The 15,263-nt window shown below is 36.5% G+C and overlaps 1 long non-coding RNA gene across 1 annotated transcript in view; it reads right to left on the reverse strand.

Annotated features, from left to right (window-relative positions):
* The window catches only part of LOC105370285 (uncharacterized), a 39,671-nt gene extending 25,216 nt beyond the window's left edge, over positions 1-14,455 (reverse strand). Inside the window, exons 1-2 of the long non-coding RNA XR_001750062.1 lie at positions 14,432-14,455; positions 3,840-3,932 (exon numbers count right to left, since the gene is read on the reverse strand). This is a non-coding gene — a long non-coding RNA (uncharacterized LOC105370285). The remainder of the gene's footprint in view (positions 1-3,839; positions 3,933-14,431) is intronic.
* Between the last annotated feature and the right edge of the window lie 808 nt (positions 14,456-15,263).

Below are 15,263 nucleotides of genomic sequence, written 5' to 3' on the forward strand. Positions count from 1 at the left end.
TGAAATAATCAAAATTATCACAGTGACAGAGTCTAATTCTATTTACTTCTTATTATAAACATTAGGGGCAGGCTTACTCTGTTGCCTCAGAGCAATACACAGAACTGACTTCATCTTCTATATCCAAAACCATTACAAAGAAAAGGTTCAATTAGATATATTTTTTTCTTATATGAGGCATAATAATATGCATGCATTAAAGGAGCAAATACTCTCATTAAGTTACGCAGACTAAACCATAACACTTGCCTCTACTCTATTCCCTTGTTATAACTTAACCAAATTATAACATGGTAATGAAACAGCATAAATCTTGAGGTATTGTGTTCAAAAGCATTATAAGTAAATAGACCTGATAGGTCTGAGAATTTTTAAACAGGATTGTTCATGAGTCACTTGTAGCAACTAATTTGAAAGTGAATGGGTGGAATTTGAGATTCGATTTTCCATAATAAACTGAATGTTTTGCGGGAGGGTATGTTCTCTTCCTGGTGATTCTGGGTTCTGCTGAATTGAAGGTTTAGCTGTCACCACTGGATCACAAGCTGGGGTTTATCTGGGGTTCCTTGTGCAACTGAACAAACTAACAAAAATAGTTCACTTTATTACTGGGGTAATTGATCTTGACCGTTGAGGGAAAATAAGGTGACCGCTGGACAAAGGTGCAGTGGAAACCAGGAGTATGTATAGAACCCTGGGGATTCTCTGTAGTACCTCTTGTACTTGTCCATATGGTTTAAAATAATAAAATCCTTGTAAACCTCCATATAGGCCTCAGAAAACCAAAGCAAAACCAAAAGTCTCTGTTCCTTAATTATAAGATTTAAGTCACACTATTAGGCAACTCGCTGATAGCAAAGAATGTGTAGAATGGGTGGTAGGGAAAGAAAAGTCATAAATGTCAATAAAACCCTTATGATTAGTTACAGAAATAAATTGAGGTATTAAACCATATTTTATTTTTTGTGCCATATAAATTTACCTATTTCAAATAATTTCTTTCTATTGATTATTTTATCCCCTTGCTCTTATGTATAAAATGTGATAATGGTAATCAAAATTATAGTGTATGTCAAGATTTAGAAAGGATGATTGCAGAGAAAATACCAAACTAGAGCCAAAATGGTCATCAGAGCCAGATATCTGAAACATGAAACTGAAATGATGACCTAGCTGATGTTGGAGATGGTATTAAAGCATTTTGGAAATTTTTAAAAATATATTTGGGGCTTTTATGGGATATTCTACTTAGGAAGGAAAATTTAAGAATTTGTCCAAATTGGTTAGAAAGTGGTGTGCGTGTGTGTGTGTGTGTGTGTGTGTGTGTGTACATATTACAATGAATTGACATAGACTATAGAAAGTTTGTAGTATTTTTTTTAATCTTTTCAGGACATACAAATTTCAATTTGAGAAACTACCTTTTCACCAAAGTTTGAAGTACTAGTAAGATTATAATAAAGATGCTCTGCTTTACTCTCTCCAAGTGAGATATTCATGACTGAAGCTAAACTAATGACCTCATCTTTCTTAAGATGCTGATCTCAAATGGCGTGATACAATAAAGTGAATGCAGTAGAAGATGTCCTTGTGGACTACACTGCCCCAAGTTGCCTTAATTCCTAAAATGTTTCTTGTTTTGCTTCCAAGGATTGATCTCTATTCTCTCCAGTATTATCAAATACTGTTTAGTTTCAACATATTTATTTTTTACTTAACTTGGTCAAATGTAGATTATAAATTTTGCAACCAAGTAAACCAAATTGATAATCATGATATAGAGGCATTAATTCATTTCTACTTTATAATTGGTATTAGGTTGGTGCAAAAGTAATGGTGGTTTTTGCCATTAAAAGTAATGGTGTAGGGCCAGGCACGGTGGCTCACGCCTGTAATCCCAGCACTTTGGGAGGCCGAGGCAGGCAGATCACTTGAGGTCAGGAGTTCGTGACCAGCCTGGCCAACATGGTGAAAGCCCATCTCTACAAAAATATGAAAATTAGCCGGGCTTAATGACAGGTGCCTGTAATCCCAGCTACTCGAGAGGCTGAGGCATGAGAATTGCTTGAACCCGGGAGGCAGAGGTTGCAGTGAGCAGAGATTGAGCCATTGCACTCCAGCCTAGGCAACAGAGTGAGACTCTGTCTCAAATAAAAAAAATAAATAAAAATTAATGGTGTAAATCACACTTACTTTTGCACCAATCTAATATTATTCTTAGTAATAATCAACGTTAAACTATATTCAATATCTTTTTTATCTTTGAAAAAACTTTCTAGTCTTTCTCTTACATAGTAATTTATTTAATTTTATTAATATTCTGAAACGATATCCTTGGAATAATTTTTTTAGTGTATTATATATTAGTTGTCATATTTTAGTAGATATGTATTCATAATGGAATTCTGTAGTTTTTTTTAGTATGGTTGTTAATTGTTTAAGGTTTCAATAAATATATTTCTGAATTTTATGTAATTATATATCACTACATTACCTCAAATGAATTAAATGACATTAGACTTAACTCTTCCTGAAAATTTGATCAAATTTACCTTGTTACATAAAAGTCTGGGGCTTATTTTGGTGATACTTATTTTATTAACTTATTAACTTCTCAGATATTTATTCAATTTATGACTTCTTTTGGACTTCGTTTCTGAGAATTGTTTTTCTAATTGAACTTTAAATGGAATTTTAGACTGTCTACATTAGAGTTAGCAAATTGTCATCCTAAGACTCACATAGATTTTGTATTGTTTTAAAACCTCACCCCTTTTAACAAGAAAACCAAAACAACAGCACTGAAAAAACTTTAGCATGTTATATTTTCATAAAGTTTTTGTTTGTTTGTTTGTTTGTTTGAGAAGGTCTCACTCTGTCACCCTGGCTGGAGCACAGTGACATGATCAAAGCTCACTGCAGCTTGTAACTCCTGGGCTCAAGAGATTCTCCCACCTCCACCTCCCAAGGTGCTGAAAGTACAAGCGTGAACCACATGTCCAGGGTATTTAAATAAAGTTATTAAGCAATTGTTAAAAATTCATATTGCAAATTTTAGTGTATCTCAACACGACCTGAAATCAGTCATACACTTGTCAATATTTATTGACTGTCCCTGAACTCCAGCCCTCTTCTCATTGGTAAAACACAACAGTGCATAAATAAGACAGATATTTCCAATTTCTTTCTTTCTTTCTTTTCTGAGACAGAATTTCACTCTTGTTGTCCAGGCTAGAGTGCAGTGGCATGATCTCGGCTCACTGCAACCGTGGCCTCCCGGGTTCAAGCGATTCTCCTGCCTCAGCCTCTGGAATAGCTGGGATTATAGGCACCCACCAGCACGCCCGGCTAATTTTTTGTATTTTTAATAGAGATGGGGTTTCACCATGTTGGCCAGGCTGGTCTCAAACTCTTGACCTCAGGTGATCCGCCTGCCTCAGCCTCCCAAAGTGCTGGGATTACAGGCATGAGTCACTGTGCCTGGCCAGAATTTTCTAATTTCAAAAGATTATATTTGTTAAAGAAAAATAAAAATGGAGGCTACAGTTAAGATACACCCCAATACCAGCTACACATTGCCACATACCCAAAACATGTCATCCTGATTTCCTTGAAATGCTATCTCTAATCATAATAAAACACAAAATGTAAGTGTTACATTTCTGCCAGCATGATTTAGTCAAATTAAACCAATCAACCATAGACAAATCAGCTTAAACAGCTCTGCTTGACTTAAAAAGAATGTTACTATATAACAGCCAATCATGAAAAAGGTCAAAATATTTCCTTCTTTATGCTTTAGTAACTGTGCTGTCACTGCTGTGAGTGGATCTTCTTACCATGTTCAGTTTGAGGTCTCCCAGTTAACAAAGCGGTCTTTCTTTGGACAATGAACTTTTAAATTGTTCCTCACTTAATTTCATTTTTGACACCTGCATGGATATGGGCAACATAGAAGTAAATAAGCAATATATGTAGGATAAAATGAAAACTATGAGGTGAAGCAGAGAAATAAATAGAGAGTGTTATGTGATGGCATTGATTAGTATAATCGGAGATGGCCTCATTGAGATGGTAACAGTTGAGCAAAACTGGAAAAAGGCAAGTAAACCAGGCAACTAGTTTTCTGGGGGAATAAGCTTTCCAGCAGAAGGAACTATATTTGCAAGAGACAGTTGCAAAGTTTGTGAAGTATAACTAGGCTGATATGCTTGAAGGTAAGGGAGTAAGGAAATGATTAGATGAAGATGAGACCAAAGAGGACAAAGGAAGGGTGCTCACAGAAGTTGGGGGCTGGGCCATCTTAGAACTTTAGGTTTTACGCTGAGCAATGTGAGAGGCCATTTGAGCATGTTGAGCAGAGGATAACATCTCCTGATTTATATGTTAAAGTTATCACCGGAATGCTGTGTAAAGATATTTTTAAACTTATTTCTAATAATTCAAAGTTAATTGAAAAACTCAAATATATTCTTTAGAACACAAGGTTAAAGGGACAAGTTTGAGGGTGAAGAAGGCAGGTGCATTAATAAATTTGTAAAAATTATGTTTAAATAGTTAGATTTCACCCTTACCAAGTGTCTATTCCAGCGAGGACAAACCTCTGCCCTTTCCATGGTGGAAGAGGTCCAATATAGTCAATCTGCCACCAGGTAGCTGGCTGATCACCCTGGGGAATGGTGCCATATTGAGGGCTCAGTGTTGGTCTCTGCTGCTGGCAAATTGGGCACTCAGCAGTGACTGTAACCAGGTCAGCCTTGGCGAATGGAAGTTCATGTTGCTGAGCCCACACATAATCTCCATCCCTGCCACCCCCACTTTGTTCATGGGCACATTGGGCAATGACAGGGGTGGCTGGGGAAAGAGGCTGAGTGGTATCCACAGAACGGGTCATCCTATCCACTTGACTATTAAAATCCTCCTCTCCTGAGGTCACCCGTTGGTGGGCACAGTGCACAGTAACCCTGGTAAAAGGCCAGAGGTCTCTTTGGGGGAATGATTAGAGAAAGTTTCACTGCATAAATTGTCAGTAATGTAGTGGGGTCCTTTCTCAATAGGATTTGGCCTCTTCTTTATTCAAGGGGTTCTGGGTCTGTAAACTGGCTCAAGTCTGCAAATTGATTGAGGGACAGTGATTCTCTGTTTTTATAATTCAAATTAGCCTTTTGTCATTCGACCTAGAAGTTTTCTCCTTGTATAAATTAAGTAGGAATGCAGTAGGCTTCTTATCAATTTTACTTCTAGGAACACCGTGATTAATTAGCCCATGCCAGAGCACTACATGAGTCAGACTATTCTGATTGCTGCCTTGTCTCTGCTGCCCATTATGGTAGCTACGTCCACCTTGCCTTTGATGGTTGAGTGCCACCACTTGGCCCCTGCCACCTCAGGATCCAATCATTCCCATTCTATTTAAATTTTGTAGTTGAGTGACTGCAGTTCCCACTGTTAGATCTGACGTACAGAGAACAGCAACTACAGGGCTATTCAGAGATGCAGGTTCTGCTGTCACAGATCTATTTTGTAAGGCATTGGTCAGGGGAATAGCTTCTGGATCCTCCCAGCTGGGATGAGTAGATCTAAAATGACTAATCCACTCCATCTTCCCAATCTCCCTAAGCCTTTGGAACCCTTCCTCTACATTAAACCAAGGGAGAGCAGGCATTCTTAGCTCACTCACAGTGGGCCATCTTCTAATCCATATTTCAGCTAACCAAGCAAATAAACTATTAGAACCTTTTTTAACTCCTTGATCTGCAACATTAAATGAAGAGTCCCTACTTAGTGGGCCCAAATCAATAAATTCAGCCTGATCCAACTCAATGTTCCTTTAATCATTATCCCATACCCTTAATATCCATTCCCACGGCTCTTTTCCAGATTTCTATTTATATAAGTTAGAGAACTCAAGCACTTCTTTTTGAGTGTAGCATACCTCTTCATTGGTCACACTCTCAACTTCACCTCTAAGGGGCCCACCGGGACTTTAGTCTAGTTATAAGTCTAGAAGCAAACAGAGGTGTTGGGGGTGGCTCTTGAGGAGAGTCAACATTATTTTGCCTGGTAAGTGCCTCAGAGTTGGGGGGCATCGCTGTTGCCTCAAACAGTGCCGTGTTTATCTCCTTAGACAAAGGTGGAAAAGGCTGATGGAAGCATGGGTCAGGGAGGGGATGCTGCCACTACTTGGGATGGGGAAGCTGTTCCTTCCGGCAAAAAAAGTTCATTAGAGTTTATAAACTCAGTGTCCCCAGCTTCATAAGGGTCCTCCCACACATCCCCATTCCAAGTTTCAGGGTCCCATTCTTTTCCAATCAATGCCCTCACTTTAACAGTAGACACCTGGCAAGGCTGTGCATGCACCTTTCATTGCAGGTCAGCCACTCACATGATAATAGCTTGTGTCTGATTTTCTACAATTCTAGTTCTTTCTCTACAGGAGATAAGACTCTCACTCAGGGCAATCTTAGCAGATTTGAGGCTCAGTATCTGCTTCTGAAGCTGGGAGACAGAACCCTGAATTCATCATTTTCTTTCATCATTTTGAGGCAGGAAGATTGCTTGGACTTAGGAGGTCGAAGCCACAGTGAGCGGAGATTGAGCCACTACACTCCAGCCTGGGTGACAGAGTAAGGCTTTGCCTCAAAAAATGAAACAAATGAGACTCTGTCTCGAAAAAAAAAAAAGTCTCCAAAGACTGTCCATCTCTCTTTTCTTTTTCTTTTTTAAAAATTATTGCTGTAAGAACAGTTAACATGAGATATAACCTCTTAAAACTTTGAAAGTACAGTACAGTATTTTAAACTATGGGTACAATATGGTCAGCAGATCTCTATAAGATTCATCTTGCTTTACTGAAACTTCATTCCCATTGAACAGTAACTCCCCATCTCTCCTCTCCCTAGTCTTTGGCAACAACCATTCTACTCTGAGTTTGACTATTGCACCAACCTGATATTTTAGATGTCTCACATGTGGAATCATTAGTATTTATATGTCTTTCTGGGATTGGCTTATTTCAATTAGCATTGTACCCTCCTGGCTCATCCATGTTTTTGCATGTGACAGATTTATTCTTTTAAAGGCTGCATAATATTTCATTGTATATCTATTCCACATTTTCTTTTATAACTCCTATCCCCAGTTTTGCTTAATATGGTTTCAGTTAAAAGTCAACCGTAGTACAAAGATACTACATTTAAAAATTCCAGAAAAAAATCATGTTTTAAATTGTGCACCGTTCTGAGTAGTCTAATGAAATCTCAGCTGCAGGACTTAGTTCTGCTCAGGATGTTAATCATTCCTTTGTCTGGTATATCCCTGTTGTCTACACTACCTACCCATTAGTAACTTAGTAGCTGTCTTGGTTATCACATCAACTGTCTCAGTATTGCAGTGCTTGTGTTTGAGTAACACTTATTTTACTTAACAATGGCCCCCAAGACAGATGAGTAGTGCCTTTGGCATATTTTTATAAATGTTCTATTGTGTTAGTTATTCCTGTTAATATCTTACTATGTCTAATTAATACACTGCACTTTATCATTGGTATGTACAAAAAAAAAAACAACATAGTACTTATGGGCTTTGGCACTGTCTGCAGCTTTAGGCATCCACTGAGGGTCTTGAAACATATTCCCTGTGGTTAAAAAGGTGGTACTATGTTCTTAAGACATGGATGCCTTGGTAACTTTGAAACCCAAATTCTATCTCCCATAGGCAGTGAGACTGCCACAGTCTCTGGTCTTTTTTTCTTTCTACTTGGCTTCTGAGCTTTATGCCTCCTCAGTTATCAATTTCCCAAAAGAAAAAAGTAAAAAACAGATTTTGGGTTTCTTTATCTCATTAATCTTTTTGAGGTGTTGTTATTTTTTAATTGATATAGTTCTACATTTTGGGAGGTGCATGTGATATTTTGATATATATATATATAATGTGCCATGATCAAATCAGGATAATTAGGATATCCATTGTCTCAAACATTTATCTTTTGTGTTGGGAGCACTGCAATTCTTCTTTTCTATCTATTTTGAAATATATAATAAATTATTGTGAACTACAGTCTTCCTACTGCATTATCAAATACTAGAACTTATTCCTTCTAACTGATTTTTGTACCTGTTAACCAACCTGTCTTCATTCCCTCTTTCTGTTTACCCTTCCCAGCCTCTGGTAATCAACATTCTATACTCTAACGTCACAAAATACATGTTTTTAGCTCCCATACATGAGGGAAAACATGTATTGTTTTCTTTTCATGCCTGGGTTATTTAATCATATCCAGTTTCACCGATGTTGCTGAAATTGACAGGACTTCATTCTCTTTATGGCTACATAATATTCCACATTTTCTTTACCCATTAACCCACTAATAGACACACATTAATTACATTATTTTGGCTATTGTGAATAGTGCTGCAATAGACATAGGATTGCAGATATCTCTTTGATATACTGATTTCCTTCTTTTTTTTTGGATATATACCAGCAGTGGAATTGTTGGATCATATTGTAGTTCTATTTTTAGTTTTTCTGAGGAACCTTTATACTCACTTCCATAGTGCCTTACTACTTTACATTTCTACCAACAGTGTTAGAGTATTTTCCTTTCTCTACATCCTTGCCATCATTTGTTATTTTTTTGTATTTTTGATAATAGCCATTTTAACTGTGGTGGTGATATCTCATTGTAGCTTTAATTTGCATTTGTCTGATAATTAGTGATGTTGAGCTTTTAAAAATATAGTTGTTGACCATTTGTATGTCTTCTTATGGCATATGTCAATTTAGGTATTTTGCCCATTTTTTAATTGTATTATTTGTTATTTTTGTTTGGTTTTGCTACTGAGATGTTTAAGTTTCTTATATATTCTTATTATTAATGCCTTATCCGATAGACATTTCACAAATATTTTCTCCCATTTTGTAGGTTGTCTCTTTGTTATTTTTTTAAAATTTTTTGTTGTGTGGAAGCTTTTTAGCTTGATATAATCACATTTTTCTATTTCTGCTTTTGTTGTCTGTGCATTTAAAAAAGAGCTAATACCAGTTAAACTATTTTCATAATTTGAAAAGAAGGAAAATCTAAAAGTTATTTTACTCCATAGTAAAACAAAACTACATGTCAATATCACTGATGAAGTTTAATGAAAAAAATCTTCAACAAAATACCAACAAACCAAATACAATACCATATTAAAACCATTGTTCACCATGATCAAGTGGAATTCATCTCAGAGATGCAAGAATGGTGAAACATACACAAATCAATAAACCTGATACATCACCTCAAATGAATCAAGAGCAAAAACCATATGATCATTTCAATAGATGTTAAAAAAACATTTGATAAAATTCACCATTTACTCATGATAAAAACTCTCACTGAACTGGGTATCAAAGGAACATGCTACAACGTGATAAAGGCCATATATGTCAAACAGATAATATCATACTGAACAGGGAATAAGTGAAAGCCATTCCACTAAGATCTAGAACAAGACAAGGATGCCATTTTCACCATTTGTACTGTACATAGTTCTTTAGGTCCTAGCCAGAGCAATTCGGTAGGAGAAAGAAATAAACAGCATTCAAATTGGAAGATAAAGTCAAATTATACTTATTTGCAGACAACATAATCTTATATTTTAAAAACCTAAAGACTCCACCACAAAACTGTTAGAACTGATAAATGGATTCACCAAAATTGCAAGTTATAAAATCAACATACAAAAATTAAGTGATATTTCTATATGCTAACAGCGTTCAACCTAAAAAAAATGAAGATAGCATTTCCATTTACAATAGCCAGAAAAAAAAATAGCTAAGTATTTTAAAGAAGTAAAATTTGTGTTCAAGTAAAACTATAAAACATTGATAAAAGAAATTGAAGAGAACACAAAAATGGAAATATATCCCCTGTTCATGCATTGAAATAATTAATATTTTTAATGTCCACATTACCCAAATCAATTTCCAGATTCAATGCAATCCCAACCAAAATACCAAATGACATTGATAAAACAATTCTAAAGCTTGATAACACCATTAAAAAACCTAAATACCTAAAGTCATCCTGAGCAAAAAACAACAACAACAATAAAACAATGCTGCAGGCATCTTATCACCTGATTCAAATTATATAATGAAGCTATTCTAATCAAAATTACATAGTACTGGCACAAAAACAGACACATATGTTAGAGTAGGCAGGTAGCCAGACATAAGCAGGAGGGGGAACCCCTAAGAAAAGGGAGGTCTGGAAAATCTCACACAACAGGGACCACCTACATAGGCATGCTAGATATAAGCAGAGAGTTGATGAAATAGCTAGGTAGAAAGGACATCCATTAAGATGCCCAGTAATCATTCACTCTGCAGTTAACCTGTGAAAATATAGCTAGGTAAATGCTGATAAGAGGGAAAACAAGAAAGTCCTAAAAAAAAAAAAAAAAAAAAAAAAAGGAAAAAATCCTGGCACCTAAGTACAAATTAGGACAGAGACAAAAGTTCCAAGGAGATACATAGGCATAGTAAGTACATATTTAACTGCTATATGACCTTCCTGGGTTGGCAGTAATGAGCAATGCAGCCACTATGTAGGATTTTTATCCAACACGGGCCCACACTTGTGCACCAACAAAATAGTAACAGAGGGTCCCAGAAGCATGGGGGAGGGCACTAGGCAGGTGCAGGAAAACTAAACAAAGGAAAGCAGCAGAGATGTGAGATAGAGGAGGAAATTTGAAGTCCAACATGATAAAAACTCCCTGCACAGGACCCTCAGTATGGTTTTCTCGCTGGATCAGCCCACTCCTCCCTTGAAACGCACCTATTTTTCCTACAATAAGCTCTTTACACTATATTCTTTTTCAATACAATTATTTATCTTTGTACTGTCCCCTTGGTTGAAATCTTTCATCCAAAGTTAGATAAGAACTGGGACATCTGCTTTCCCCGGTAACACATAGACCAATGGAACAGGATAGAGAAATAAGGAGAGCCAACATCACCTGGTGGCCATCAAGCAGACCATCCACAGGCAAAACTCCTTATCTGAGGAATTCAGAAGTAATCTGACTTCCCTATTATCTAAAGCTGGCATCTGGTCCTAGGCTTCTTTCCTAAAAATGTATAAGTAACTGGAATTTGTACACATCTCCAGAATGCATACTTGTCAAAACTCATTGTGCAACCCTTGCTGTCACCAAGGCACCAAAATGTCTACAAATGCAATCATTTATCATGACCTATGTGACTTTTATGGTCCAAGTTACCCTTAAGTTCCTTACTTTCAGATCCATAAATACACCTAAGAAAAATCCACTGTAGCATGCTCAGTCCCCTCTTGCTGAAGCACCCTGCTGCACTCTGCTGCAGTGTCCTTTCTATCTAACAAAACTTTCTTTTTCAAACCTTACTGTTGTTGGTAAATTCTTTTACTACCTGCAAGCCAACCACTCCCCACCATCGGGCTCTGATGCCTTCCCCAGCAAAAACTAAGGAATAAATGTATGTATTTACAGCCAACTCACTTTTGACAAAGGTGCTGAGAACATATATTGGGGAAAAGACAGTATCTTTAATAAATGGTGCTGGGAAAACTGGATATCCATATGCAGAAGAATAAAACTACGTATTTATTTTTTACCATATGCAAAAATCAACTCAAAAGGGATTAAAACTTAATGTAAGACCTGACACTGATAGCAGCAGGAGACAGACAAATTCCTGGGCAGACAGGGTTGGGTCCCTAGCAAAACCCAACCTTCAAGCCAAGGACAATACAAAGTTTGAAAACTGAGCTGCCAGTTCCAGATAGAGTCCACGACCAGAGTGAGAACTTCCATCTTCCATCTTACCCACTCTCTCTCTCAATTGGTTCCTTCTGAATGATGCCTTTCAACTAATCAAATAGTGCTTTTTCCAAGACCATCAATGGACCAATCAGCACACATTCTCACATTCTAAGCCCATAAAAACCCCACACTCAGCCTCAGAGACAACAACCCACTTTTGGGTCCCCTCTCTGTGCTGAGAGCTTTCTTTCTGCCACTCAATAATATTCTACTCTGCCTTACTCACTCTTCAGTGTCTGCGTACCTTAGTCCTTTTGGTTGTGGAACAAGAACCCAGTATTCACCAAACTGTGGGAGCAAAAGAGCTGTAACACTTCTGCTCACTGAGCTGTGGGTGGTGGGAGTAAAAGAGCTCTAACCCTTCCTCCCACTCGACAAACACATTCTAAGCCCATAAAAACCCCACACTCAGCCTCAGAGACAACAACCCACTTTTGGGTCCCCTCTCTGTGCTGAGAGCTTTCTTTCTGCCACTCAATAATATTCTACTCTGCCTTACTCACTCTTCAGTGTCTGCGTACCTTAGTCCTTTTGGTTGTGGAACAAGAACCCAGTATTCACCAAACTGTGGGAGCAAAAGAGCTGTAACACTTCTGCTCACTGAGCTGTGGGTGGTGGGAGTAAAAGAGCTCTAACCTTTCCTCCCACTTGACAAACAACAGGAGTGAAGAAGTCAATGGGTGTCAGGCCCTTCTACTTGCTGAGCTATAGGAGTGAAGAAGTGAAGCAGCTGGGCACCACTCTCTCCTGCTTGCTGAACTATGGGAGTGAAAAAGCTGCAACAACACCATGTAGGTACGAGAAGAAAATGTTGGAAAAACACTCCAGGAAGTTGGTCTGGGCAAAGATTTTTTGGGTAAGACTTTAAAAGCACAGGTAACAAAAGCAAAAATAGGCAAATATGTTGACCTTTTCTCCAGGATCCCATTATTTTTTTAAGGTAATTTGCCTTTGGTTTCTTTTAACCTAATTGGGAATACAACTTCACTCAGGTTTCAGCTCAGATGCTACTTGTTAAGGAATAACTTACCAAGTTACAAAGCAATAATATTTATTTCCTACTGCTACATATCATTTTTTAATTTAATTCATAGAATTTATCACTAACTGAAGTCACTTTAAAATTTTATTATTTTCTTACATGTTTGTTGGTTTCTCCCATGAAAAAATAAACTCCTTGAAAGCAGAACCTTTGGCTTTCTTGATCTCCATCACATTCTCATTGCATGAATACAGCTGGTATTGAATATGCTGTTTTGTATGTTTTTTAAAAATGAATTTTAAAAGGCCAAGCTTAATATTCAATTAGGAATTTCAACAAATAATGTACCTGGTCTCTAGAACATTGATATTAATGTTAATGCTTAGTCTAGAATTAAGACTATGGATTAAGTAATGTACATTTATGTTGGTGATTAATGGATAATGTACTTGAAAGAAAATTATTTTTTGTAACTAACCGTCAAGTAAATAAATATCTGTAAAATCTATTCACTTATTTAAAATTTGTTTCAATTCAAAATAGCAATCAGTAGGAAAAATTTATCCAACTAAACTTAGTTTTATGGGGAAAAAATACATAAACAAACAAATGAAAAACACGTCATTTTAATTTTAATGGTCCCAAACATTCTTATATCATTACATAAATCATTCTTTAATTTATTTTGTTTATTATCTTAAGAAAGGTATGTTTTCAAACACCTGAAATTAATTTTACATTACTTAGCTTTTAAAAAAATCTTTATACTTGCCATGAAGTGTGGGCATCATAAAAATCTGTTTATAAAATAAAGTAGAATTTTTAAAAAACTTCACTATCATAATCCTTCCCTGTGAATATTTTAAAAAATGTGTTAATCACATCTACAACTACTTAGAAACAAAGGCTTTGTTTAGACACCAAAATAGCAAAGTGTGTAGATTTAAACAAAAACCAAACCTTTGACAGAAGACAATAAAATAACTAAAAACGTGCCTCTTGCTTTTGGAATATTTTTTATGCATCAGTAAAAATCTTTTCAGCCAAGTAATAGAATAAAACATAATTAGAAAATGGCAGTCGAAAATGGCAGTCAATTACTCTTGGAAGTATTTCTGTTTATCACCATTAAAATGTTGCTAAGACTAAAGACAAATAGTATGTGAGTGTGCATTTGTCAGATAAGAATTCTGAATAATTAGTGCTCTTAAGATTAGCATAAATAGCCTAAGGAAATGTTAGTACATAAAATAAGTCAAGAAAAAAGGATAAAAGGAGAAAGAAAGTAAAATAATGCCATTAGGCTATTATATAGTAGTTAAGAATCATTTTCTATGTTTTCATTTATTTAAAAATGCAAACATAATTGTTTTTTTTCTCCCACTCTGGCACAACCTGTCCTGACTTTACTCACATAATAAGCTAACACATTTTAATGGGGTTATATTCATTTATATCATATTTTCTGAACCTTTTTGGGTTATTTTTCAAACAAAAGTAATCAAACCATTTTAAATATTTTTAATTATCTACATAGAGCTGCTAATACTATTAGCAAAGTAGATTTAAATGAAATCAGAAAGCAGTAACTTACTGGCCAATCTGACATAGAATTGAGAGGAGGTGCCAGCTGGGCTTCCTGGGTCGAGTACGGGCTCAGAAAGCTGTGAAACTCACTCATTTTGTGCATCAGGACTGCTTTGGTCCTGGATGAATAATATTGAAGATATATGCTTAAAATAGTCCTAACACCAGGATTTGTGAATGTGTTTTCTTCCCCAAGAAATCTATAAACAGCAAAAATTTTGCTGTAAGTTTTCCTGTATCCTCTCTCCCTCTCTTCCTTCCCCCTCCCCAAAACTGGGGAACGTTAACTGCCCGTTTTTCTGTGACCAGTGGACCTTATCTCTACTCCCCATTCCAATTCCTTGTGAACATACTTTGTAAAGTCCTGTGAGATCCTGTCTCCTTTGCCATGCCACTGCAAGGTCATAAAGTAGATAAAACCTAAGTTATAATTCCGGTTTTCCTAAAATCTAAGACATGTCACAAAATAACTTACTGCCTTTGTTTCTCGCTCTGGTAACAACTTCCTGCCACACATATTTCCCTCCTTAAAGAGTTTAAAAGGCAATTACCCAAAACCAGCAGTGGCTACCCGTTTGGGACCCCTTCCATGCTGTGGAAGCTTTGTACTTCAACTCTGCTCAATAAAGCCTACAGCTTTTTCTCTCTCTCGGTCTGTGTCTCTATCACTCGCCATGGTCAGCTGCCACACCAATTCTTTGGCGTGGCTAGGCAAGAACCTTAGACGTTACAGAAGCACAACCACGAATCTTTCCTATTTGCGCCTGTCTTTTTTTTTTTCACCTCTTTTTTTTTTTTTTAAAAAAAAAGAAATATTTTCTACTGTTTATTTTTCAATT

The sequence above is a fragment of the Homo sapiens genome, chromosome 13 (assembly GCF_000001405.40).
Source record: "Homo sapiens chromosome 13, GRCh38.p14 Primary Assembly".
Classification (NCBI taxonomy): domain Eukaryota; kingdom Metazoa; phylum Chordata; class Mammalia; order Primates; family Hominidae; genus Homo; species Homo sapiens.